Here is a 25,855-nt window from a genome sequence, read left to right as displayed (position 1 = left end):
TCAGGAATTCAAGGCCAGCCTGGCCAACATGGTAAAACCCCGTTTCTACTAAAATACCCGGGAGATGGTGGTTGCAGTGAGCCGAGATTGTGCCACGGCACTCCAGTGTGGGCAGCTGAGTGAGACTGTCTCAAACAAACCAACAAAAAAAGTAAACACAGACACCACATGACCCAGCAATTCCACTTCTTAAAAATGGTTAAAAAGGCAAAAACAAAGAAAAAAGAGGAAGGTTACAGGGGTGAAAGGACCCACCTTCCAATGTACTGCCAACCAGTAGTGACTCCATGGACCAGGACCAGTTAGATAGATACAGGTCCCATATTTTACACACACACACACACACACACACACACACACACACACGACCAGTTAGATACAGGTCCCATATTTTACACACGCACACACACATACACACACACACCCCTATAAATCTGGGCAACACAGCAAGACCCCAACTCTACAAAAAAAATAAAAAATGTAGCAGGATGTGGAGGCATGAGCCTGTGGTCCTAGCTCCTCAGGAGGCTGAGGCAGGACAGAGTGAGACACTGTCTCAAACATCATGATCATCATCAACTCAATGTTGATGAGGAGAGAGAGAGAAAACCCACTCCTCATGTGCAGGCTTTCAGTAATGGCCGCCCCCACAGGTCTCGTCACCTTGAGTGCCAGCTGGAACTCCAGGAGTTTGGTGTAGCAGGCAGCTCGATTGCTGTATAATTTGGCATCTTTCGGGTTCCTTTTGATGGCTTCTGTATAATGCTTCATGGCCTGGGGATAGTCCCCTGGGGAAGAAAAACAAAGACTGTCTTTTAAAAAGCAAAAAGCCCCCATGTGTAGCCGGCCATTTACCCCACAGCCAGGCACGGGAGGCACACCCAGCACTGCTCCCCCAATCCCCCAGCTGCAGGCAGTACCTTTCTGAAAACACTCGTTGCCTTTGTTCTTCTCCTCCAAAGCCAGGTCGGGGTTTATGTAGGCCAGCCGCTCTTGCTCCTTCAGGATTTTCTCTGCCTACAAAACATAATTCTTGAAATAATAATTTAAACGCTCATAATCATCTAAATATTGGGCTTAAAAATCACATTAGGGGCCGGGCGCGGTGGCTCACGCCTGTGATCCCAGCACTTTGGGAGGCCGAGGCGGGTGGATCACGAGGTCAGGAGATCGAGACCATCCTGGCTAACATGGTGAAACCCTGTCTCTACTAAAAATATAAAAAATTAGCCTGGTGTGGTGGCGGGAGCCTGTAGTCCCAGCTACTCGGGAGACTGAGGCAGGAGAATGGCGTGAACCCGGGAGGCGGAAGCTTGCAGTGAGCCGAGATCGCGCCACTGCACTCCAGCCTGGGTGACAGAGCGAGACTCCATCTCAAAAAAAAAAAAAATCAGATTAGGATTTTAATTTTCAGAGTATTGCTGGCAAGATTTTTTTCTTTTTTTTTTTTGAGATAGAGTCTCGCTCTGTCGCCCAGGCTGGAGTGCAGTGGCGCGATCTCGGCTCACTGCAAGCTCTGCCTCCCGGGTTCAACGCCATTCTCCTGCCTCAGCCTCCCGAGTAGCTGGGACTGCAGGCGCCCACCACCATACCAGGCTAATTTTTTTTATTTATTTAGTAGAGACAGAGTTTCACCGTGTTAGCCAGGATGGTCTCGATCTCCTGACCTCTTGATCCGCCCACCTCGGCCTCCCAAAGTGCTGGGATCGCAGGCGTGAGCCACTGCGACTGGCTATTGCTGGCAAGATTTTTTTTTTTGAGATGGAGTCTCACTCTCACCCAGGCTGGAGTGCAGTGGCATGATCTCGGCTCACTGCAACCTCCGCCCCACTGAGTTCAAGCGATTCTCCTGCCTCATCCTCCTGAGTAATTGGGATTACAGGCGCCTGCCACTGCGCCCAGCTAATTTTTTCGTATTTTTAGTAGAGACGGGGTTTCACCATCCTGGCCAGGCTGGTCTTGAACTCCTGACCTTGTGATCCACCCACCTCAGCCTCCCAAAGTGCTGGGATTACAGGCGTGAGCCACTGCACCCGGCTATTGCTGGCAAGATTTTAAAAGAAATTTACAGTCTTTATAAAATAGTCAAAATGTTATGTTACAAGAACTATTAACATTCTCAATGCACAGGCCCTCAATATTAACACATTTAGGGTTGAAATCTTGGCCAATACCAAAAACTGCAAAAAAAAAAAAAAAAAAACCACAAAAAAAAACACCAGATCACTTCCTACATGTTGTCACTGTTAAATGACAGAGAAAGAATCATGTAAGATGACCAAAGCCACTACCTAAAAAAAGATCAGGTTCAGCCAGGCATAGTGGCTTACGCCTATAATTCCAGCACTTTGGGAGGCTGAGGAGGGCGGATCACTTGAGTTCAGGAGTTCAAGACCAACCTGGGCAACACAGTGAGACCCCTTCTCTACAAATAAAAAAATTAGCTGGACGTGGCCAGGCGCAGTGGCCTGTAATCCCAGGACTTTGGGAGGTTGAGGTGGGTGGATCATGAGGTCAGGAGTTTGAGACCAGCCTGGTCCATATAATGAAACCCCATCTCTACTAAAAATACAAAAATTAGCCGGGCATAGTGGCGTGCACCTGTAGTCTTAGCAATTCGGGAGGCTGAGGCAGGAGAATTGCTTGAACCTGGGAGGCGGAGGTTGCAGTGAGCAGACACCATGCCACTGCACTCCAGCCTGGGTGACAAACAGACTCCATCTCAAAAAAAAAATTAGCTGGACGTGGTGGCACGTGCCTGTAATCCTAGCTACTCAGGCTGAGGTGGGAAGATCACTGAAGCCCAGGAGGTTGAGGCTGCAGTGAGCCACGATTGTGCCACTGTCTTTCAGCCTGGGTGAAAGAGTGAGACCCTATCTCAAAAAAAAAAAAAAGTCAAGTTCATTATTAAATAAAACAGTAAGAAACAATGGCTCAATTATTAGGAAAACAAGAAAATACCCCTATTCTTTTCCTACGCACCTGCTGGCATTTCTTGAGCACATCTGGGGTTCGGTGCTCTGCCAGAGACTTGTTATAGAAATGGATGGCATCCTTGTACTTTTCTTCTTTGAAGTAGGAGTTGCCAATTCGAGCATATGCTCTGATAAAGAAAGAGGGACAAGGACTGCTTAGGACAGAGAGATAAAGTCAGCTCCTGCAGAAAAACACACCTGCAGCTAGAAAGGCCCGCATCACTGCCTTCAACACCTTTTGTCTTGTCTCTGGTGACCTTCTTGCCAGCCCTTTCTTAACACAGCAGATTCTATGGCCAGCAGCCCTCCTCCCCATGCAGAGAAACTTAAGTCTTGGACAGCAAACCCTCCGCGCTACTCAAGGTATTCTGGAAGGTTGAGCCTACTTGGCAATCTGTCGATAGTCTTCTCGGTTTTCTCTCCCCACTTCAATGGCCTTCTCACAAAGCTCCCGGCACTTATTGTAGTCGCCCTTTTCAAAGTATACCGCTGCCAGGCAGGATGGTTAAGAAGGAACAGTCAGTCTTTGCTTCCTCCCTCAGAGACACCCAACAATTCCCTTGCCCCTTGTTTCTGGGCCTCACCTGCTTGATTGGTAATGTAAGTCATGTTAGTGGGGTCCAGCTCCTTGGCTTTGTCGTAATGCTTCAAGGCTGTGTCAAAGTCTTTCTTCTTGTAGGCATCGTTCCCCAGCTCTTTTTCTTTCAGTGCCTAGATGAGGTTTAGAAGTGAGTGCTGAGCAAATCTAACTCAGGTGACAAAGCAAGAATCTATGATCTGTCACAAGTTCTGAAATGCAACTAACATGAATAGAATTCTATCAAGTTCTCCTGAAGGCCTCTTCATCAGTCAGCTATAGACAATAAAGTATCAGCCGTTAGAATGAAAACTAACTTCATCTTTGCTTGCTCTGAAACTCCCCCTTTTCCACCTACTCTCCTAGATCTTTGTCAGGAAGCAGAGCGCTTCTTTAGGGGAGAGGAAATCCCTTCGACTTGAAGCAACCGGTGAGGACAGCAGAGTTTTGGACCAGGCTTTATTCTGAGGCTGCAGCAGATCTGGTGTCAGTCTTGTGGTTGCCTCAGGGTCTTAGTTGTCAGGGAACCATAGCAGAGGGGGTGGTGAGAGGATGAGAAGCGGCTGAGTGGCACGAGTCTTCAGCAAAGCTCACTACCGCCCACACTGGAGGGCCTTTTTCCAGCTGAGACACCCTAAACAACCAACGCTTACCCATTTCAAGGTGCTAAATTTGGCAACAATCTGCTGTTCCAGTTTACAAGGAGGGAAATGAAATCGTTGAGGCACATGCCTTCTGCTCTAAAAGAGTGCTGCTTAGCGGACACTCCCAACCACACACCATGTCCAGCCAGGAAGCAAAGGCCTAGGGATTGATGTGGACAACATTCTTCGGATCACGACAAGGACGTGAATTACTCTCAACTTTCCAGTCTTGCTAGGACCAACATTCACACTGGCAGCAATGAAGCCGCTGTGGTGACCACGGGAAGGGCAACTCCCGCAGCTCACTCTTTGCTACACATTACTCCTAGGAATGCTCTTGTGAAGCTTTTTTTTTTTTTTTTTTTGAGATGGAGTCTCGCTCTGTCACCCAGCCTGGAGTGTAGTGATGAGCTCTCAGCTTATTGCAACCTCTGCCTCCCGAGTTCAAGCGATTCTTCTGCCTCAGCCTCCCGAGTAGCTGGGACTACAGGCGCCCACCATGACACCTGGCTAATTTTTGTGTTTTTAGTGAAGATGAGGTTTCACCATGTTGGCCAGACTGGTCTTGAACTCCTGACCTCAGGTGATCTGCCCACCTTGGCCTCCAAAAGTGCTGGGATTATAGGCATGAGCCACCGTGCCTGGCCTGAAGCTGATTTTTTAACATGCTGGCCATTCTAATGAATAATAGCCATAAGCTTAGCGCATACTAAAGCACTCAAAATAGTTTTAGGTGGGCACAGTGGCTCGTGACTGTAATCCTAGCTGAAGCAGGAGCATCGCTTGAGGCCAGAAGTTCAAGACCAACCTGGGAAACACAGCAAGACTCCGTCTCTAAAAAAACCATAATAATCATGGTCAATCAAGGTCAACAGATGTCCCCATTCAACATAAAGATTTCTAGTTGTTTATAGATAGGTGACAGTGAGGAGAGAAAAAAACAAGACCTGCTTCTTATTCTCTGGAAGATCTTCTTCCATTGGCTCTGGCTTGGTCTCCTTTTTGGGAGGGGGTGGTGGTGGAGGTGTTGCAATCTCTTCCTCCTCATCCATACTGCCCAGATCGACCCCAAGGAGGACGCTGAGAGTGGTCATGATCCGGGGATCTTGTAGTTTCCTAGTATTGATTTAAAAAAATAAAGAAAAATTGTAATTACTCCTCCCCACAATTAGTCTTTTAACTCCCACTTACTACTAAAGTCAGATTCTTGTGTTTAGAAGCTCCTCACCCATCAAAAGATGGCTAGATTTTGCACCACTCATGAGTTACAATTGAGAAATACTCAAACCGTCAAAACACTATCTAAAATAGAGTCAACAAAAACAAATAAAATGAAGTCACAGATAGCGGAGCACGGTGGCTCACACCTGTAATCCCAGCACTTTGGGAGGCCGAGGCGGGCAGACCACTTGAGGTCAGGAGTTTGAGACCAGCCTAGCCAACATGGTGAAACCCACCGCTACTACTAAACATACAAAAATTAGCTGGGCGTGGTGGCGTACACCTGTAATCCCAGCTACTCAGGAGGCTGAGGCAGGAGAATCGCTTGAACCCAGGAGGTGGAAGTTGCAGCGAACTGAGATCACACCACTGCACTCCAGCCTAGGGGACAGAGCGAGACTCCATCTTGAAAAAATAAAATAAAATAAAATAAAATAAAATGAAGTCACAGAGGTCAAGTTTATTCCTCAAGGTTAGCAGATACACAGAGGAATGAGTTGTTTTAGGTATACTTCCGTAGCTGATCTCAGGAGCCAGAGGATTGATAGAGATGAATACCAGTACAAGATTTAGACACATCTTTACACATGAACTTCAACCCTGTTTCCACTCTGATATACCAACAGAGAAAGTAGGGCCTAAGTAGATGGAAAGGATGGGGTTGACGCTAGATCAGAGTTCTAGAAGAGCAGGAGAGAGGTGTATACAGATGACAAAGAACATTCTAGATTACTGTGAAATATGCTCCCCTGACCCTTTCTATAATTACAAATAAACGACCACCACCTACTGCTCTGCAGAGAATAAGCAAAGGCAAAAACTCTGCAGTTTAGACCAGGGAACCCTCTGCTGTGAGGTTACAGGAAGAAAGCATAACATTCCCCGATTTCCAGAACCTCAGTGAGCGGCGTCCACTTACGTGCCCAGGTCAGAAGGCTTGTTTCGTAGCTGCTCTATCAGCTCCCGGTAGGTAGGATCACTGAGTAGTGTCCTTGTCCTGGGATCACTCTCCAACTTCTGATACAGATTAGGCATGTTGAAAGGGTTCATGAATTTTCTCTCTGTCCAAATAAAGGAAAGCACATCACTATGAAATGAGTTCACTAGAATTACTGTGTCCCATACCCTACCAGACTGACATTTCTCAGGGGTGAAGACTCAAAATTAATCACATTAATAATAAGAAAGAAAACTGTGCGTGGTACCTACCTGCCAACCTGGCCTCCATATTCTGTAAACCCTCTTTCAGTTGAGGGTTATTTGCCTCGTGTTTTAAGCCCTCCTCATAGGTTCGCTTGGCTTCTTCAAAGCGGTTTAAGAACTCTAGAGCTGCTGCTTTTCGTGAATAGCCCTTAAACCACCAAAGACAGACACAAAATAGAGAACACCCAGAGGTAAATCTAGAAGACGAACTCAAAAAAGAACAATTCTACTTTTATGGGGGAAAAATGAGTATTCACATGAAGGCCAAAGAGAAAAAAAGGAGAGGAGTAGGCTACGAGGCCAAGGCTGCTACTGTAAGGATCCATCCAAATAGCAGAGGCACATCCGCCCCGCCTTGTTCACCTCTGATCGACTGTGGTCAGTTTCTTTGGCAACACTTTTTCCCTTATTTTTTTGGTAAAGACAGGGACTCCTTATGTTACCCAGGCTGGTCCCAAACCTTTGGGCTCCAGTAATCCTCCTGCCTCAACCTCCCAAAGTGCTGGGATTATAGGCGTGAGCCACTGTACCGGGCCTCTTCCTTTTTTTTTGAGACAGGGTCTTGCCGTGTCACCTGGGCTGGATGCAGTGGCACGATTTCAGCTCACTGCAACCTCCGCTTGCCAGGCTCAGGTGATCCTCCTGCCTTAGTCTCCTGAGTAGATGGGACTACAAGCACATGCCACCATGCCTGGCTAAATTTTTTTGCATTTTTAGTACAGACAGGGTTTCACCATGTTGGCCAGGCTGGTCTTGAACTCCTGACCTCAAGTGATCCGCCCACCTCAGCCTCCCAAAGTGTTGGGATCACAGGCGTGCGTCACCGCGCCCAGCCCTGGCCTCTTCCTTCTTAGTACCAAAAATAAAGCCTGTATTACAACTAATGGCTACCTTAGATTTGATGAAAAATGCCATTTCTGAGGAGGATACTCAAACAGGGAGGTGGGTAGGTAACTATCAGTGTATCAGGACAGGTAAACCTCAGGCCACCAAAAGGCATTTCTGGAAGGGTCTGAAGGGCCTCTCTCCCTCCACTGCCCACAGCTGACCTTGCCCCAGTCAGGCTTTAGGTCGACAGTCTTGCAGCCATCCTCATAAGCCTTCTGGTAGTCTCCTTTCTTGGCATAGGCAGCAGAACGGTTGCTGTACAGCACGTGGTTGTGGGGATCCAGCTTAATAGCTTCGGAGTAGCACTGTAAGGCATCATCGATGTTACCCACGCTCAGGGCCTTGTTGCCTTTCTCCTTCAGCTCATTGACCTGAGGGGAAAGGAACACACAGCTTCTCTATGATGTGCCCATTTAATCCCAAGCTTTAAAGACAACACTCATTCTTTCATGTAGTTACCAACAAATAAATAGGTGACTTTACAGATCAGAAGAGAGAAAACCGGTTCATTTATTTAATTTCTCACACCTTCCCTAAGGAGCCAGCAAAGAAAAAATAAGCAGGGGCAAAGAGCCCAGGCTGCACTCCACGCTGGCCCCCATGTGACGAACGAGGGCTCTGCCACTCTTCCGGTCTCCACATGGAGCTCACGAAGCCACTCCAGAATGTGCCACATGCTCCTTCCATGGAAAAGTCAATTCATTTGCCACAGATTTCCAAAGCATCCAAATGACAAACAGAGCACAGCCCTAGTCACCCCTCACAGGAAGAAGGTGGGCGGAGTGGCACTGATACATGCTCCAGTGACCCAAAGGCTGTGGGATGGCAGCGGAGACTTCTCTTTCTTGGGAGCGGCAAGATGCTTGCCTATGGCATAGTTGTCATCTCCTCCCATCAGGGAAGAACCAGTCTCCATTTCCTGGTGTGGCAACATGTCACCACAGGATAGATAAATGTTCATTAATGGGTAACAGTCAAGCTAGCTCCCCAAATTGATTCCTGCCATTCTTAAATATTACATTACAAAGGGGATGGAGGATGAAGAAATGCTACTGTGGTTTAAACCTCTCCCTTCTCAAACATATAAAGTGCAAGAAGTAAGGATACAGCGGGGTTTTGTTTTGTTGTGTTTTTTGAGACAGAGTCTCACTCTGTCACCCAGGCTGGAGTGCAGTGGCACGATCTCGGCTCACTGCAACCTCCGCCTCCCAGGTTCAAGCGATTCTCCTGCCTCAGCCTCCCAAGTAGCTGGGACTACAGGCGCACACCCCCACACTTGGCTAATTTTTGTAATTTTAGTAGAGACGGGGTTTCACCATATTGGTCAGGCTGGTCTTAAAACTCCTGACCTCAGGTGATCCACACGCCTTGGCCTCCCAAAGTGCTGGGATTACAGGTGTGAGCCACCGCGCCCGGTGGGATACAGCAGTTTTAAAAAGTGAGGCAGCTCTGCCTGGCCGCCCCACCGACTGGGAAGTGAGGAGCGCCTCTGCCCGGCCACCCAACTGACTGGGGAGAGAGGAGCACCTCTGCCCACCTGCCCCACCGTCTGGCAAGTGAGGTGTGCCTCTGTTGGGCCACTGTGCAACCCTCCAAGTGTGAAGTGACAGCCTTGTGTGTGATCTTTCTGCCCTCCCCAAGTTTGCATTTTCCACATTAAATTTTACTTTTTCATTAAAAAAAAAAAAAAAGTGAGGCAGGCCTTGGCCCTGTCAGAACAGTGTCCTCACTAAAGGGTTTCTCCTTACTGAGCTGCCCCACAAAAGGTCAGGTGCCCCACAGCAGCCTACCTGAGGGCAGGCAACCCCTTGAGAAGCTCATTGTATTTATTATTATTATTTTTTGAGACAGAGTCTTGCTCTGTCCCCAGACTGGAGTGTAGTGGCACAATCTTGCCTCACGGCAACCTCCGCCTCCTAGGTTCAAGCGATTCTCCTGCCTCAGCCTCCTGAGTAGCTGGGATTACAGTCACCCGCCACCACGCCCAGCTAATTTTTGTATTTTTAGTAGAGATGGAGTTTCACCATGTTGGCCAGGCTGGTCTCGAACTCCTGACCTCTTAATCCACCCATCTCAGCCTCCCAAAGTGCTGGGATTACAGGCGTGAGCCACCGCGCCTGGCCATATTTATTTTTTTTTAAAGATGGCATCTCACTCTGTTACCAGCCTGGAGTGCAGTGGCATGATCACAGCTGACTGTAACCTTGAGCTCCTGGGCTCAAGCAATCCTCCTGACTCAGCCCTTTTTTTTTTTTTTTTTTGAGACAGAGTTTCACTCTGGTTGCCCAGGCTGGAGTGCAATAGCACAATCTTGCCTCACCACAACCTCTGCCTCCCAGGTTCAAGCGATTCTCCTGCCTCAGCCTCCTGAGTAGCTGGGATTACAGACACGCACTACCACATCCGTCTAATTTTGTATTTTTAGTAGAGACGGGGTTTCTCCATGTTGGTCAGGCTGGTCTTGAACTCCTGGCCTCAGGTGATCTGCCTGCCTTGGCCTCCCAAAGTGCTGGGATTACTGGTATGAGCCACTGCGCCCGGCCAACTCAGCCTTTTAAGTAGCTGGGACTACAAGTGTGTGTCACCATGCCTGGCTAAATGTTTTTTTCTTTTTGTGGTAGAAATGGTGTCTCACCATATTGCCCAGGCTTGTCTCAAACTCTTGGCCTAAAGCAACCCTCCTGCCTCAGTCTCCCAAAGGTGAACCACCACACCAGGCCAAAATACACTTTTAAGAGGTAAACGTTCTGTGAGATAGAGTTGTCACCGAAGTTACTAACTCATTCTATGTATTATCCACCCACGACCCAGTAAATTGATGCAAGAAATAGTTTTGTCAAGAGAAATGATTTTAGGCTGTAATCTCAGCACTTTGGGAAGCTGAGGCGGGTAGATTAACTGAGGTCAGGAGTTCGAGACCAGCCTGGCCAACATGGTGAAACCCCGTCTCTACTACAAATACAAAAATTAGCTGCTGCCGGGTGCAGTGGCTCACGCCTGTAATCCCAGCACTTTGGGAGGCCAAGGTGGGCAGATCACCTGAGGTCAGGAGTTCGAGACCAGCCTCAACATGGAGAAACCCCGTCTCTACTAAAAATACAAAAAAAATTAGCCGGGCGTGGTGGTGCATGCCTGTAATCCCAGCTACTTGGGAGGCTGAGGCAGGAAAATTGCTAGAACCTGGGAGGCGGAGGTTGCAGTAAGCTGAGATTGCGTCATTGCACTCCAGCCTGGGCAACAAGAGCGAAACTCAGTCTCAAAAAAATAAATAAATAAATAAATTGCCCGGATGTGGTGGTGCATGCCTGTAGTCCCAGCTACTCAGCAGGCTGAGGCAGGAGAATCATCTGAACCTGGGAGTCGGAGGCTGCAGTGAGCCGAGATTGCACCACTGCATTCTCACCTGGAGGACAGAGTGAGACTCTATTTGGAAAAAAAAAAAAAAGAGAGAAATGATTTTGGAATCCTCAAATAGAGAGATCAGGAACTTCCATCAATCAGAGACCTTACAGAGGCAAGGGCAGAAGGAACCTGCCAAATTAAGCAAACAAGGGATAAAAAATCCTAGAGCCCAAGATGGAGGCCAGAAGACGAAGAGTTAACAAAACTCAAGTGGTGTCAAGAGGCAGCTGGTGAAGTTCCTGCCTATGCTTTAGAAAAGCATTTTTCAAACAGAGTACTGATCAACAGTGGGTCAGGAAATCAATTTTGTAGGTCATGACCAGCATTTTAAGAGACCAAATGGGACAAAAAAATACCAGCACACAGTGCACATAACAGTAAATACTGTTTTGCTGAATGTGTTACATGGCTGTACGCCTGTGTTGGGTTAAATGTAAGAAGTGTATCATTGTGGGATTTGAAAGGCCCCTATTGAAAAAAAAAAGCCTGAACATTCAAAATCTGTCCAACTTTTTTTTTTTGGAGATGCAGTTTCGCTGTCATTCAGGCTGGAGGGCAGTGGCGCAATCTTGGCTCACTGCAACCTCGACCAGCCAGGTTCAAGCAATTGTCCTGCCTCAGCCTCCCACGTAGCTGGGACCACAGGCGCGCACCACAATGTCCGCTTATTTATTTATTTTTTTTTTTTGAGACGGAGTCTCGCTGTTACCCAGTCTGGAGTGCAGTGGCGCAATCTCGGCTCACTTCAAGGTCCGCCTCCCGGGTTCAAGCGATTCTCCTGCCTCAGCCTCCCAAGTAGCCGGGACTACAGGCGCGTGCCACCACATCCAGCTAATTTTTGTATTTTTAATAGAGACAGGGTTTCACCATATTGGCCAGGCTGGTCTTGAGCTCCTGACCTCGTGATCCACCCGCCTCAACCTCCCAAAGTGTTGGGATTACAGGCGTGAGCCAGCACGCCCGGCCCAGTTTTTCTTTTTTCTTTTGTATTTTTACTAGAGACGGGGTTTCACCATGCTGGACAGGTTGGTCTCAAACTCCTGACCTCATGATCCGCCCACCTCGGCCTCCCAAAGTGCTGGGATTACAAGTGTGAGCCACTGCACCCGGCCCAACTTGAGTATTTTCTAAACTGAAATACAAACCTCACAGTTGAAAATGAAAACAAAAGGTAGAGAAATCGTGTTTGTTTTCAGGAATGGCTTCCAGATGGTGGGCTCAAACACACCTGGGATTAAATGCCAGGTCATCTGTACAGCTGCCATGCCAGTTTGCTGTCCTAAGTCAAATATTCATTCACCATCTACCTACCTGTACATACACTTCTATCACCAGTAGTGGTAATTTAAAAACAAACATTTTAAGACCAGGCAAGGTGACTCACGCCTGTAATCCTAGTGCTAATGAAGTGGGAGGCCAAGGCTAGAGGATTGCTTGAGCCTAGAAATTCGAGACCAGCCTGGGAAACAGCAAGAGCCCCGTCTCTACAAAAAATGTTAAAATTAGCCAGTTGTGGTGGTGTGCCCAGCTACTCAGGAGAGTGAGGCAGGAGGATCGCTTGAGGCCAGGAACTTGAGGCTGCAGTGAGCTATGATCCCACCAGGGCACTTCAGCCTGGGCCACAGAACCAGACCCTGTCTCTAAAAAAAATACAAAATAAATTTGGTAACAGAAATCGTTTCTTTTCTTTTTTTTTTTTTTTTGAGATGGAGTCTCACTCTGTCACCCAGGCTAGAGTGCAGTGGCGTGATCACAGCTCACTGCAACCTACGCCTCCCGGGTTGAAGCAATTCTCCTATCTCAGCCTCTCCAATAGCTGGGATTACAGGCCTGCGCCATGACCCGCTAATTTTTGTACTTTTAGTAGAGAGGGGGTTTCACCATGTTGGCCAGGCTGGTGTAGAACTCCTGACCTCAGGTGATTCGCCCACCTTGGCCTCCCAAAGTGCTAGGATTATAAGCGTGAGCCACTGCGCCCAGCCGAGATCCTTTTTTTTTTTTTTTTTTTTGAGACGGAGTCTCGCTCTGTGGCCCAGGCTGGAGGGAGACGGAGTCTCGCTCTATGGCCCAGGCTGGAGTGCAGTGGCGCAATCTCGGCTCACTGCAAGCTGCCCCCAGGGTTCACGTCATTCTCCTGCCTCAGCCTCCCGAGTAGCTGGGACTACAGGCTCCCGCCACCACGCCCGGCTAATTTTTCTTCTGTATTTTTAGTAGAGACGGGGTTTCACTGTGCTAGCCAGGATGGTCTCGATCTCCTGACCTCGTGATCCGCCTGCCTCGGCCTCCCAAAGTGCTGGGATTACAGGCTGAGCCACGGTGCCCGGCCCCAGATCCTTTCTTAAAGGTAAAAGAGCAACGTCTTATTCCAGAAATCTTTTCCTCACCTATACTACAGCCCATTTAACCCTAGATACAACTGAAATATTATATGGGCACAAAAAAGTTTACTAACTTCATTTCCACTCTTTTTAATACAGCAAGGAAGCTCGAGCTTTGCCTAAAGCAGCAACTGCTACAAGAGACCAAAGGCTCAGCTCTGTAGCTCACACCAAAAAAAGGATGGTAGTCACTAGTCCATCGAGATGTCTTATTTAAGGGGAGAGTGTGGGCGATCTTAGTTTTATGGCCCTGAAGTAAGAACCAGATACCAGGTATAGTTTCAGAATTGTCACCCCCAAGTGTTATGGGCCCGGAGCGAAGACAGTAGTACTCCCGAGCGGGAGGATGATTTCTCGGAGGTTGGTAGAGGTTTCTTGGAGGTTGTTTTGTCCTTTTTCTTCCGATGAATCATTACAGCTCAATGACAGCTTCAAATCGAACAAAACCTCTAGGCCTTTCATAACCGCAAGCTACTGAGGACATAACCAAGTCACTGAAAGGAAGCAGCAACCGCTTCAAACTCGGCCCCTCAAATGCTCAGTAGAGGCCCATAACTTCCAGCGGTTGATCTCTGTAAATTGTCTACAACCACCCCCGGGTCGTCAGAAACCCATCTTTCAGACCCACCTTTCGGAAGTGTTGGTCCTCGGTCACTCGACAATCACACACACAAGCATACAAAAAGAGGGGGAGGGGCCGCAATACATTTGTAAAACACTGTCAGAGATGGAATTCGTCCCAAGGACTTTTGCGGCACCCTTCCCTTTCCCGCATCAGGTAGAGTCGGTCTGTCGCTCCTCAGACCCCCGCTCAACGCTCTCCCACCCTGACCTTCTCAGATGTAGAAGAGTAACATTTGCCCCAACTGCATCCCAGGCTGCTAAGATCCTCGGCTACTCCCAGTGTATCCCCGTCCCCGCTCCCTGGATCCGTCCAAGTTCCTCGTGGCTAAGTCCCGAGCGGTTTCTCCGTCGGCCGTCTGAGATCTCCCGGAGGGCTACCTCGCGGGTGCGGACCCCGGCCCCCGGCCCACCTCCACCCCGCCCCCTGCGGCCCGCACCCTCCCCAACATGGCCCGCAGCCGCCCCCTCGGGACGCCTTCAGGGCCCGGTCGCGACCCCTCTTCCCGCCGCCGGCCGGACTCACCCAAGCTGTGGCCTCCGCCGGGCCCTCCTCGCCCAACCAGGGGGCGATGGGCGCTCCCCGCGGCCGGCCTCGCTAAAGATCCCGCTCCCGCCCGCCGCCCGCGGCCCTCACCTCCCCGCCGCCGCCCCGTCCGGCCCCAGCGCCGAGCTCCGGTCTCCTGGATCCGGCGCCCGCCCCGCCCCCCTACCGCGGCCTGGCCACCGCCGGTCCCCGAGCAGGCTCGGGGCCTCAGCCCGCCCCTCCCCCTTCACCTGCTCCATAGCGCAGCGCGGTCCGGAACCCCGTTGAATCGAATCCGTCCGCTCCGCGTTCCCAACCGCACGCGCCGCCTTCTGGAACCTACTAGAAGCTACCGGGACCCCGGCTCCCGCCCCTTCCTCGCCTGCTCACTGGTCGAGTTCTTCTAGGGGGAATGTCTGTGCTGCTCTACTATTGGCTTGAGGTCCAGCCCATCATCTCCACTTCCTTCTCATTGGACAGCGGGGAGTAATTCCCTCAACCCTGCCTCCCCCGCACCTCAGGATTGGGCGCTCCTCTATAAACCCACCCATCTCAGGCTCCACGAATGGAGGGAGGAGCGAACTTCTGCGACACGGATTGGTCTTTTGCACTGCCAATCGTAGCCGCGCTGGCCGCGCCCATTGGTTCTGATCGTTCTGGAAATTTCCACCTCTCCCATTGGGCTGCCGGACTCCATGTCGGAACCGCCTTCAGAATGAGAGCGATTCCAATTGGGCGGAGGGTTGCCAACTCTTTGCGCTGATTGGTTTAAATCGCTGCCCTTCAAAAGGCCGGGTTTCGCCCCGCCCCTGATATATGGGAGTACCGGCTGCAGTCGGGGTCTGTAGCTGTGTCGCCGGCGGCTGCGGGGCCTCTGGGTTGCTTTCCCTCTCGCTCCCGAGTGCCGCGAGTTCCAGGCGGTCCCCGGGATCGCCAGCGGCACAGGGCCCCAGCCCTTCGCCCGCGCATCGGGATGGGGGTCCTAGCCGGTGGGAGCTGCCTGTCCCTCGAGCGCCAGCTACCCGCGTTGTCCAGCGCTCCGGCCTCGGCCCGGCCCTCCTGCCTCCTGGCTGTTAGGTTCTGAATGTTCCGGAAATGCCACGTGACCGCGAGGGCGCTTGGGCTTGGGCTGGACAGGCCGGGGATCTCACCGCGGCGGGCCCGGCTGTCCCGCTTGGGCGTCCTCAGTGGAACCGCACACCCTTTCTCAGCGCGCCGGTCGTTTGGTCCTGTAGGGCCGAGGGGAATTCGTGCGGTGTTGAGCACGCGGGAAGCACTTAACGAAAGGGAGCTGCCCCTCAGCCCTCGTGAGTCCGATGTAAAGGAGTGAAGGAGACGAAGAACTGAATCAGTAGTTGACCGCCTGTGAGCTGGCGAGCTGTGCCCTGGTAGGGCCTTAAATCCCAGCCCCAGAAGTCGGAGGCAGGGCAGGCACCCCAAAGCGTGGAAGAGATGCACCTGCGGAGTGAAAATGCTGCTATTGCTTCTAGGGTCAGCCTTGGTTCCTGGAACAAAGGAGCCGCATGACTCGGGTCTGGCGATGATGTTGGGCTCTGCAGTGTCCTCATCCTTCCCCCTCTCTGGGTAATGATATCTTCCCAGGGTTTAAAGTGTGTCCTCTCTGCCAGTAGCTTGTCTCCACAGCCTCATCTTTAATTCCACCTGCCCCACCCATTTTGGACACTGCAGCCAAGTTGCAGCAGATCCGCAAACCTGGTAATCCCTCACTTGAAAGTGCTGGAGGCTTTAGGATGGGGTTCAGGGCCTGTGCAATCTAACCGCCTGCTTTTTTTTTTTTTTTTTTTTTTTTTTTTTTGAGACGGAGTCGAATCTCACTGTCTCCCAGGCTGGAGTGCAGTGGCGCCATCACAGCTCATTGCAGCCTCAACCTCCTGAGCTCAAGCCATCCTCCCACCTCAGCCTCCCAAGTACCTGGGGTTACAGGCAAGCACCATTACGCCTAGCTAATTTTTCTGGGTTTTTTTTTTTTGTTTTTTTTTTTGTATAGATGGATTTCGCCATGTTGTCCAGGCTGGTCTTAAACTCTCGCTCTGTCTCCCAGGCTAGAGTGCAGTGGGGCAATCTCGGCTCCCTGCAACCTCTGCCTCCTGGGTTCAAGCAATTATCCTGCCTCAGCCTACCAGTTAGCTGGGATTACATGTGTGCGCCACCGCGCCCGGCTAATTTTTTTATTTTTAGTAGAGGCGGGGTTTCACCATGTTGACCAGGCTGGTCTCAAGACTACTGACCTCAAGTGATCCCCCCCCCCCCCCGCCTCGGCCTCCCAAAGTGCTGGGATTACAGACGTGAGCCACCGTGCCCAGCGGTTTTGCATTTTCAATTGTGGGGCACGGTGAGAAAAGACTTGAAGAAAGCAAGGGAGTGAGATCCATGGAAATGTAGGGGGGAACCTTGCAGGCCTATGGAACAGCCAGTGCAAAGGGCCTGGGGTGGGAGCTGCCTCAGGGTAGCCAGGATGGCAGGAGGCACAGCTGCCGAGAGGAAGCAGGGGCCAGGTCCTGCAAGGTTAGAGGCCATTGCTACTCCTGAACACATTGGCAGGTTTTGAGCAGAGAAGTGACATGATTTTAGTTTTCTCAGGATCCCTCTGGCTGCTGTGTGGAGGAAGAGGGGAGGGTGAGAGCAGGGATACCTCTTAGGAGGCTGTGGTAGTAATCCCAGGGAGCCAGGATGGGAGCAGAGGAGGGGACAGGAATTGGATTCTGGATGCATTTTGGAGGGAGCATGAAGGAAAGCGGGGTCAAAGGTTCCTCTGAGGCCTTGGCTGCCTCTCTTATTCATCTACATCCATTCTGTCAAGGACACCTTTCATTTCTTCTTGGCACTGTCTCAAGGCCACCACGCTGCTGCCCACCTGACCAGCAGTGGCCTTTCCAGGCCTTCCATCTTCTCCCCAGCAGCTTATCTCTGCGTAGCCAGGTCCCATTTCCCACACACCTTTTTTTAAAGTGTGTTGCACTGCTCTGGGTGCAGGACTGTAGCAGTGACCAGGGCAGCTCCAGATGAAGCTTCTGCTCACAGGAACCTTTTCTACTGAAACAGATGATACCTAAACTCTCAGCTGTGTGACTTTAAGCAACTTGCACAACCTCTCTGTACTTCAGTTGCCTCCATCTTCAAATGGGGATTAAAAAGTGTTGACATCATAGTGGTTGTGAGGATTACATGATTTGATAGTTTATAAAGCACTTAGAACTTGTGAAGAAGAGTGCCTGGGGATTGCCTAAGGTCAGGAGTTCAAGACCAGCCTGGCCAACATGGAGAAACCTCATCTCTGCTAAAAATACAAAAACTAACCACGCATGGTAGTGCACACCTCTAGTCCCAGCTACTTGGGGGGCTGAGGCAGGAGAATCACTTGAACCTGGGAGGTGGAGATTGCAGTGAGCCAAGATTGCGCCACTGCACTCCAGCCTGGGCAACAGAGCAAGACTCGGTCTCCAAAGAAAAAAAAAGAACTGCCTGGCTACGGAATAAGAACTACATGGAGTTATTAAATCAAAATCGGTGCACAAATGATAATTCTTAAGAGTGAGTGCTACAGAGAACACAAAAGGCAAGGCACAGAGAGATGACCTGGGAGGCAGGGAAGGAAAGCATTCCCAGAGGTGAGTGGTTAGTGAAGGCTTGTCAGAGATGGGACGAGGAGAAGCCTAGGGGGCACAGAAGATGCAAAGGTGCTGAGGCCAGGGCAAATTCAGAATTTTTTTTTTTTTTGAGATGGAGTCTCGCTCTGTCTCCCAGGCTGGAGTTCAGTGGTGCAATCTCGGCTCACTGCAACCTCCACCTCCTGGGTCCAAGCAATTATCTGCCTCAGCCTCCAGAGTAGCTGGGATTACAGGCATCCACCACCACGCCCGGCTAATTTTTGTGTTTTCAGTAGAGACAGGATTTCACCATCTTGGCCAGGCTGGTCTTGAACTCCTGGCCTCATGATCCACATGCCTCAGCCTCCCAAAGTGCTGGGATTACAGGCGTGAGCCACCGCGCCCAACCCAGAATTCTCTTTTTTTGGGGGGGGGTGGGGGACAGAGTCTCACTCTGTCATCCAGGCTGGAGTGCAGTAGCGCGATCTTAGCTCACTGCAACCTCTGCCTCCCAGGTTCAAGCGATTCTGCCTCAGCCTCCCGAGTAACTGGGATTATAGATGCCCGCCACTACGCCTGGCTAATTTTTTTTTTTTTTTTGTATTTTTAGTAGAGATGGGGTTTTACCATGTTGGCCAGGCTGGTCTCAAACTCATTACCTCCAGTGATCCACCTGCCCTGGCCTGCCAAAGTGTTGGGATTACACAGGCGTGAGCCACCATGCCTGGCCCTGGCCCAGAATTTTCAAGAAATCTAAGGAAGGCTTTTTTGTGCTCTAAGTGTCCTTGTCTGTAAGGTAGGGGGGATAAAGTGCCCTTGACTTCCCAAGGTTACTATGCAGATTGAACAATATAATCCTCCCGGGTTGGCCTTGAGTCTTGTCAGACCTGAAGCTTATGACAATTTGAGAGCTCGCTTTGAGAAAAGAAACACAAAAAATGAGGTGTGTGGCTTTAGAAGGAGCACAAATGGGGTCCCCGATGTTTAAGCTGCTTTAGTGTTACAGTAAAGCCACCTCTGAATACCCAGAAGTGTTAGCTCTTACAACTTCCACCAACTCAGTCTTCTCCAAGCCTCTTGGTGGACTCAGAGGAGGACAGGGAGGCAGCCACTCTGGCCGGCCAGGGCCCTCCTCCCAGGTCCCTGGAACACAGGCGCACCAACCACAGCTGCGTCCTGGCCTGGGCATCACGTGACGTCCCAGAGTGATTCACGCTGCTATTTCAGTGCTGCTGCAGTCAAGGGTAGGGAGAGGCATGGCGAGGCTGTATCTGGAGTCAGCTTGGAGGCCGTAGTTCCTGCAGCAGTGGCACTGAAGGTACAGCGAGGGTGACTGAGTCTCAGCAGAGCAAATTCCCAACTTTAAAGTTTTCTCAATATCAGAAAAACTAGGAGAGCTGGATCTCAGTGTAAGTGGGGAGTAGGGGTTAGGGAAGGGCTGCAGCTCAGAATTGGGGCTCTGTAGACCTGGAATTTTTGTTTGAAACTCCTAAGAAATCTCTTAATTTCTTACTTAACTGAGTGATCCTAACTTGTAGCTCTTCTGCAAAGATAGAACTGGCATCCTTATTAGTGGGGAAAATAAAGTACTGTAGAGTTCTGTCCAATTCCGAGGACTTGTATAGAGCCAGGCACTGTGCCAGATGCTTCAAGGAATAAAATGATAATTATTATCTAATAATTATTAATCAGAGAACCCTGGAGCCCAGTCCTGGGCCTTGCTATCCACACCCCCCTCCCTGGGAGATCCAGCCAGTCTTGTGGCTATAAATGCCATCTCAGATGACTCCCATAAACCTGTCCTCTGCACAGATCTCACCCCCCAGTCCCAGACTTATCTATCCAGCTGCCATCTGGACATCTTCGTGTGGATGGCTGACAGACTTCCCGGGGTGCTCAAATCATAATTCCCAATATCCCTCTCAACCCCGCCTGCCCTTGACTTCCTCTTGCCAATGGCATCATTATTCTTTCAGCGGCTCAGGCTGAAAACTGTGGAAGCATTCTCGACTCATCCTCTTTCACAGCCCGCATCCAGTCCATCAGCTAATTCCGTCAGCTGGACGCAGACCCCCGGGACCCCCTCAGGGTGTAGGGGGAAGGAGTGTTGCTCCTTGGACTGGTAGATGCCCAGAGTCAGAGGTGACAATGTGCTTAGACACCCTGCAAGGGGCCCCCCCAGCCTAGGCACGCAGGCCATATATAGCCTCTGTAAGATGTGGGGTTGGGTTAGGGGGCGGGAGGAGAGACTCTGTATTTCAGGGGACCACTGAGGTGAGGCCAGCTCAGCAGCAGCCATGGCACACAGTGGATCAGAGCCCTTCCCAAGGGTTAAGGACCATGTGAACTGGGAACAGGATGAGTTCCTCACAGCTGAGTAGGATAGAGGCTTACGTCAGAACAAGGTGATCCCAAGGCAATGGTTTTTTTTCTTTCTTTCTTTTTTTTTTTTTTTTTTTGAGACAGAGTCTCTTTCTGTCACCCGGTCTGGAGTGAAGTGGCGCAGTCTCAGCTCTCTGCAACCTCTGCCTCCCAGGTTCAAGCAATTCTTCTGCCTCAGCCTCCCAAGTAGCTGGGATTACAGGTATGTGCCACCATGCCTGGCTAATTTTTGTATTTTTAGTAGAGATGCGTTATTTCCATGTTGGCCAGGCTGGTCTCGAACTACTGACCTCAGGTGATCCACTCGCCTCGGCCTCCCAAAGTGCTGAGATTATAGGCATGAGCCACTGCGCCCGGCCGAGGCAATGGTTTTCAGCTAGGGTGTCCCCAGCTGTCATTTGGCAATGTCTGGAGACATTTGGGTTGTCATAACTGAGTGTGTGTGTGTGTTTGTGTGCACATGCTGTAGTGGCCAAGGATGCTGCTAAACACCCTACAAGGCACAGAATAGCCATCACAATTATTTGGCTCCAAATGTCAATAGAGCTGAGGGAGAGAAATATTAATATAAACACAGCAGTTCCTGCACACCGAGGTTGAGGCTCAAGGGTGAAACCTGCCTGCTACATGGCAAGCAGATTGCAACTGACCACAGCACATAATATGACACCCAATGGCAAGAGAACGATGTCAAGGGTCACTGAGAGAGATGAAAGATGGTGCATATTCATTGACACCCCTCTCATTGCAAAGTGGGAGGTCTGTGTCCCCTCCCCTTGAATTCCATGGAGTTGGGACTACTCTGACCAATAGAATACAACAGAAATAACATCTTGCAGTTTCCAAGCCTTATAAAACTGGCAGCTTCCACTTCTTGTTTCTTGGGACACACTGCCTTGGAGCCTGTGCTGCCACTGAAGAAGTCTGAGTGCCCTGAGGCCACCATGGTGTGGGGAAGCCCACGCTAGCCTTGTGGCAAGCCAACTGTTCCGCAACATAGTGCGGGCTCCAGGTAACATGAAGGAAGCTGTCTTGGGCCCTCTAGCCCAGCCCAGTCTCCAGCGAATCCCACTGAGTGACCCTAGTCAAGCCCACATGGAGCAGAAGAATCACCTAGCTGAGCCCTGACCCACAAAATCTTGAGAAGGAATTAAATTGCTATTGTTCCCAGCCAGAAAAGCAAGGTAGCTTAAGGTAGTTTGTTCCACAGCAGTAGGTAACTAGAACAGTCATGTCCAAGGATTTGTTCCTGCACTTTCCCCTTCGCCACGTATGGCAGAAATTCTCAGGAATTCTCATGAGCCAGTGTCATGCTAGTGCTTGTTGCATCTGCTCCTCTCCAGCCGCCCCAGCCCACTGATCCAAGCACTCTGTGAAATGACTTTTGTGTGTCGACTTCTTCCCACGAGGAAGACGTTTCTTTCATTGCCATGTGCTGGACCCCAGTGCAGAGCCCGGGGCATTGTCAGTGCTTAGTGTTTGTTGAATGAGCCAATGGAACTGGTCACCCTCCGCTGCCCTGGGGGTCCCTCAGCCTTTCCCAGAAGGTCCCTTGGACCTTCCCTCTGGGCTTCCTCACTCCCTTTTCTGCTTATTCTTTTCTGAGCCGAATTGTTGTAGCCCCTCAGATCCAAATGGCCCAACCCCACTGTCTCCTTCCCAGCACCTCTGTTGAGAAATACCAAGTGGTAGAGAGTGTGCCTGTGTGGACGTGGGTGGGATACGTGCCTCTTCTACACCGCCCGTAGGAAGGTACGCTTAGCAATAGCTATTGAAAACACAAAAGTGATTCTGCTCTTAGGAATGTCTCCCGCAGGGACCCTACCCTGGTGGCACAGGACGTCTCACACAGCACTGTCTGGGACAGCAAAAGGGATGGAAACCACCTGAGTCCAACTATGGAGGACACTGGAAAACACGATGCTGCCTCCATAGGATGGGATATTGGCAAGTGTGAAGAAACAACATTTGGGTAGATATTGACATGGCAAGGACATATGGTAGAATGAAAAAAGTTAGTGGTTGTGATATTGTGAATATAAGTATGCATATTTGGGTTTCACTTCCAGTTCCTGGCACAGAGCTCCTGAAACACTTGTAATTTCTTGAGTGATGGTGGGAGAGGAGCATCTTTTGTTACTCATAATGAGCCCCTTTCAACCATAAATTTATGCTAATGAGGTGACTCTTGGCGCATGAGGGTGGTAGCCAGGAGAAGGGGAACCCAGTAAATGATTAGAGGGTTCAAACCCTGGGGAGGGGAGATGGGGTGGACATTGAGTTAATTACCAGTGGTCAAGAATTAATCAATTATACCTGTATAATGAAGCCGCCCTAACACTCCTAAATGAGGCCGGATATAGTGGCTCACGCCTGTAATCCCAGCACTTTAGGAGGCTGAGGCGGATGGATCACCTGAGGTCAGGAGTTCAAGACCAGCCTGGCTAACACGGTGAAACCCCGTCTCTACTAAAAATACAAAAAATTAGCTGGATGTGGTGACACACGCCTGTAGCCCCAGCTGCTCAGGAGGCTGAGGCAGGAGAATCGCTTGACCTGGGCGGGAGGCAGGGGTTGCAGTGAGCCAAGATTGCACCACTGCACTCCAGCCTGGGTGACAGAGCAAAACTCCATCTCAAAAAAAAAAAAAACAACTAAATGACAGGGTTCAGAGAAGAACACATGGAGGTGCTGGGAGGGTGGAGTGATCAGAGAGCACTTGGAGGCTCTGCATCCTGCCTTCCACACCTTGTCCTATGCATCTCTTCCATCTGGCTGTTCCTGAACTTCTATCCTTTATGATAAACCGGCAATAGTAAGTTAGGCTGGGTGCAGTGGCACATGCCTGTACTCCCAGCTACTTGGGAGGCTGAGGCTGGAGGATCGCTTGAGCCCAGGAGTTCAAGGCTGCAGCGAGCACCACTGCACTCCTGCACTCCAGACAGAGACACTCTGTCTCAAAAAAAAAAAAAAAAAAAGTAAACTGTTTTCCTGTGAGCTGTTCTAGCAAATTATTGAACCTGAGGAGGGGGTCATGGGAACCCCCAATTCATATGTCAGAAGTATGGGGGACCCAGGACTTGCTCCTGGAGTTTGAAGTGGGGGTAGTCTTGTGGGACTGGGCCCTTAACGTGTGGGAGCTGATGCCAACTCCAGGTTGATAGTATCAGAATGGATTCAATTGTAGGACACCCAGATGGTGTTGGAGAGTTGGTCGATGTGGGAAAAAAAAACCCACACATTTGGTGTCAGAAGTGTTGTGAGTTAAAAAAAAAAAAAAAAAAAAAAAGCATAGTAGTTGTGGAACAGTGTGTATGGCTGAATCCTATTTTTGTAAAAATAAAATTATGTGTGTATCTCTTCACATATGATTATACATGCAGGGAAAAAATCTACGATACGCAGCCAGTGGCTACAGGAATTACCTCTGTGGACTGGGAACAGGGAGGCGGTGTGCTGTGATAGTTTGCTGGGGCTGTCATAACAGAATGCCACAGATGGGGTGGCTTAAACAACAGAAATGTATTTTCTTACAGTTCTGGAGGCTGCAAGCCCAGGTTCAAGGCATCAGCAGGTGTGGTTTCCTCCGAGGCCTCTCCCCGTGGCTTGCAGATGGCTGCCTTCTTCCTGCATCCTCACGTGGTCCCTCCTCTGCACTCCAGCATCCTTAATGTCTCTTTGTGTGTCCAACTTTCCGCCCCCCCCCACCCCTTTTTTTTCTGATGGAGTCCACCCAGACTGGAGTACAGTGGCGTGATCTCAGCTCACTGCAACCTCCACTTCCTGGGCTCAAGTGATTCCCCCGCTTCAGCCTCCCGAGTAGCTGGGATTACAGGCATGTGCCACCATGCCTGGCTAATTTTTGTATTTTTAATAGAGATGGGATTTCACCATATTGGCCAGGCTGGTCTCAAACTCCTGACCTCAAGTGATCCACCCATCTCGGCCTCCCAAAGTGTTGAGATTACAGGTGTGAGCCACTGCGCCCAGCCCCGAACTTTCCTCTTAAAAGGATATCAGTCAGGCCAGGCGCAGTGGCTCATACCTGTAATCCCTGCACTTTGGGAGGTTGAGGCGGGTGGATTACTTGAGGTCAGGAGTTGGAGACCAGCCTGGCCAACATGGTGAAATCCCGTGTCTACTAAAAATACAAAAATTAGCCGGGCGTGGTGGCAGGCGCCTGTAGTCCCAGCCACTCGGGAGGCTGAGGCAGGAGAATTGCTTGAACCTGGGAGGCAGAGGTTGCAGTCAGCTGAGATCATGCTACTGCACTCCAGTCTGGGCAACAGAGCAAGACTCTATCTCAAAAAAAAAAAAGACACCAGTCAGACTGGAGTAGGGCTCACCCTAATGGCCTGATTTTAACTTAATTACCTCTTTTTTTTTCTTTCTTTTTTTGAGACAGAGTCTCGCTCTGTCACCCAGGCTTGAGTGCAGTGGCGCGATCTCAGCTCACTGCAACCTCTGTCTCCCGGGTTCAAGTGATTCTCCAGCCTTAGCCTCCCAAGTAGCTGGAATTACAGGCGTGTACCACCACACCAAGCTAATTTTTGTATTTTTTAGTAGAGACAGGGTTTCTTCATGTTGGTCAGGCTGGTCTCAAACTCCTGACCTCAGGTGATACACCTGCCTCGGCCTCCCAAAGTGATGGGATTATAGGTGTGAGCCACTGCACCCAGCCTTAATTACCCCTTTAAAGGCCCTATATGCAAATACAGTCACATTCTGAGCTACTGGGGGTTAGGGCTTCAACATAGGAATTCAGGCAGACATGATTCAGCCCATAACAAGGGCTTTCACTTTTTTTTTTTTTGTAGAAACAGGGTCTCACTATGTTGCCCAGGCTACTCTTGAACTCCTGGGTTCAAGTGATTCTCCAGCCTCAGCCCCCAGATTAGCTGGGGCTACAGGTGCACCAGCACGCCCAGCTAATATTTTTACTTTCATTTTTTTTAGACGGAGTTTAGCTATCTTTGCCCAGGCTAGAGTGCAATAGCGTGATCTTGGCTCACCACAACCTCTGCCTTCCGGGTTCAAGAATTCTCCTGCCTCAGCCTCCCAAGTAGCTGGGATTACAGGCATGCACCACCATGACCGGCTAATTTTGTATTTTTAGTAGAGACGGGGTTTCTCCATGTTGGTCAGGCTGCTCTCGAACTCCCGACCTCAGATGGTCTGCCCGCCTCAGCTTCCCAAGGTGCTGGGATTACAGGCGTGAGCCACCGCGCCCGGCCAATATTTTTTGTGGAGTCAGGGTCCTACTATGTTTCCCAGGCTGGTCTTGAACTTCCAGGCTCAAGCGATCCTCCTGCCTTGGCCTCCTAAAGTACTGTGATTCCAGGCCTGAGCCACAGCACCCTGCTGGCTTTCACTTTTTACTTTATTTCTATGTTGTTAAAATCTATTACAATAAACATTACTTTTAAAGGA

The 25,855-nt window shown here is 50.2% G+C and overlaps 1 protein-coding gene and 1 long non-coding RNA gene across 8 annotated transcripts in view, besides 7 other annotated features; one reads left to right on the top strand and one right to left on the bottom strand.

Annotated features, from left to right (window-relative positions):
• Positions 1–15,685, bottom strand: part of STIP1 (stress induced phosphoprotein 1) — a 19,272-nt gene extending 3,587 nt beyond the window's left edge. The window contains exons 1-10 of one of the 3 annotated variants that reach the window (NM_001282652.2): positions 14,983–15,685; positions 7,670–7,879; positions 6,627–6,768; positions 6,337–6,478; positions 5,144–5,312; positions 3,560–3,686; positions 3,362–3,464; positions 2,983–3,103; positions 921–1,017; positions 664–788 (exon numbers count right to left, since the gene is read on the bottom strand). In NM_001282652.2, the coding sequence (NP_001269581.1) occupies positions 664–788; positions 921–1,017; positions 2,983–3,103; positions 3,362–3,464; positions 3,560–3,686; positions 5,144–5,312; positions 6,337–6,478; positions 6,627–6,768; positions 7,670–7,879; positions 14,983–15,132 (1,386 nt within the window). In that variant the 5' untranslated portion in view covers positions 15,133–15,685. Of the gene's footprint in view, positions 1–663; positions 789–920; positions 1,018–2,982; positions 3,104–3,361; positions 3,465–3,559; positions 3,687–5,143; positions 5,313–6,336; positions 6,479–6,626; positions 6,769–7,669; positions 7,880–14,686; positions 14,787–14,982 lie in introns of those variants that run through there. The other 2 variants (NM_006819.3, NM_001282653.2) reach the window with 2 other exon arrangements.
• Positions 14,574–14,633: a silencer, noted in NCBI's record as "silent region_3462". NCBI's record gives its function as "represses an Ori minimal core promoter by ATAC-STARR-seq in GM12878 lymphoblastoid cells {active_cell/tissue: GM12878}" and the evidence as "EXISTENCE:reporter gene assay evidence [ECO:0000049][PMID:35858748]".
• On the top strand, positions 15,276–25,855 carry LOC124902686 (uncharacterized). 5 transcript variants are annotated; one of them, XR_007062710.1, is made up of 4 exons: positions 15,276–18,064; positions 20,510–20,627; positions 22,227–22,397; positions 23,962–25,855. It is a non-coding gene; the product is annotated as an uncharacterized LOC124902686 (long non-coding RNA). The 5 variants fall into 5 exon arrangements; XR_007062711.1 differs by lacking the exon at positions 22,227–22,397; XR_007062709.1 differs by lacking the exon at positions 23,962–25,855 and having other exon boundaries at positions 22,242–22,855.
• Positions 15,334–15,473: a silencer, noted in NCBI's record as "silent region_3461". NCBI's record gives its function as "represses an Ori minimal core promoter by ATAC-STARR-seq in GM12878 lymphoblastoid cells {active_cell/tissue: GM12878}" and the evidence as "EXISTENCE:reporter gene assay evidence [ECO:0000049][PMID:35858748]".
• Positions 15,594–15,663: an enhancer, noted in NCBI's record as "active region_4883". NCBI's record gives its function as "activates an Ori minimal core promoter by ATAC-STARR-seq in GM12878 lymphoblastoid cells {active_cell/tissue: GM12878}" and the evidence as "EXISTENCE:reporter gene assay evidence [ECO:0000049][PMID:35858748]".
• Positions 16,287–16,792: an enhancer, noted in NCBI's record as "H3K4me1 hESC enhancer chr11:63951637-63952142 (GRCh37/hg19 assembly coordinates)". NCBI's record gives its function as "activates a minimal SCP1, AML or CMV promoter by ChIP-STARR-seq in primed H9 embryonic stem cells {active_cell/tissue: H9 hESC(primed)}" and the evidence as "EXISTENCE:reporter gene assay evidence [ECO:0000049][PMID:30033119]".
• Positions 18,677–19,176: an enhancer, noted in NCBI's record as "H3K4me1 hESC enhancer chr11:63949253-63949752 (GRCh37/hg19 assembly coordinates)". NCBI's record gives its function as "activates a minimal SCP1, AML or CMV promoter by ChIP-STARR-seq in naive H9 embryonic stem cells {active_cell/tissue: H9 hESC(naive)}" and the evidence as "EXISTENCE:reporter gene assay evidence [ECO:0000049][PMID:30033119]".
• Positions 19,177–19,678: an enhancer, noted in NCBI's record as "H3K4me1 hESC enhancer chr11:63948751-63949252 (GRCh37/hg19 assembly coordinates)". NCBI's record gives its function as "activates a minimal SCP1, AML or CMV promoter by ChIP-STARR-seq in naive H9 embryonic stem cells {active_cell/tissue: H9 hESC(naive)}" and the evidence as "EXISTENCE:reporter gene assay evidence [ECO:0000049][PMID:30033119]".
• Positions 19,303–19,352: an enhancer, noted in NCBI's record as "active region_4882". NCBI's record gives its function as "activates an Ori minimal core promoter by ATAC-STARR-seq in GM12878 lymphoblastoid cells {active_cell/tissue: GM12878}" and the evidence as "EXISTENCE:reporter gene assay evidence [ECO:0000049][PMID:35858748]".

This window comes from Homo sapiens, chromosome 11 (genome assembly GCF_000001405.40).
Source record: "Homo sapiens chromosome 11, GRCh38.p14 Primary Assembly".
Classification (NCBI taxonomy): Eukaryota; Metazoa; Chordata; class Mammalia; order Primates; family Hominidae; genus Homo; species Homo sapiens.
Note: the sequence above shows the minus strand (reverse complement) of the source record. Positions and strands in the feature narration are given on the sequence as shown.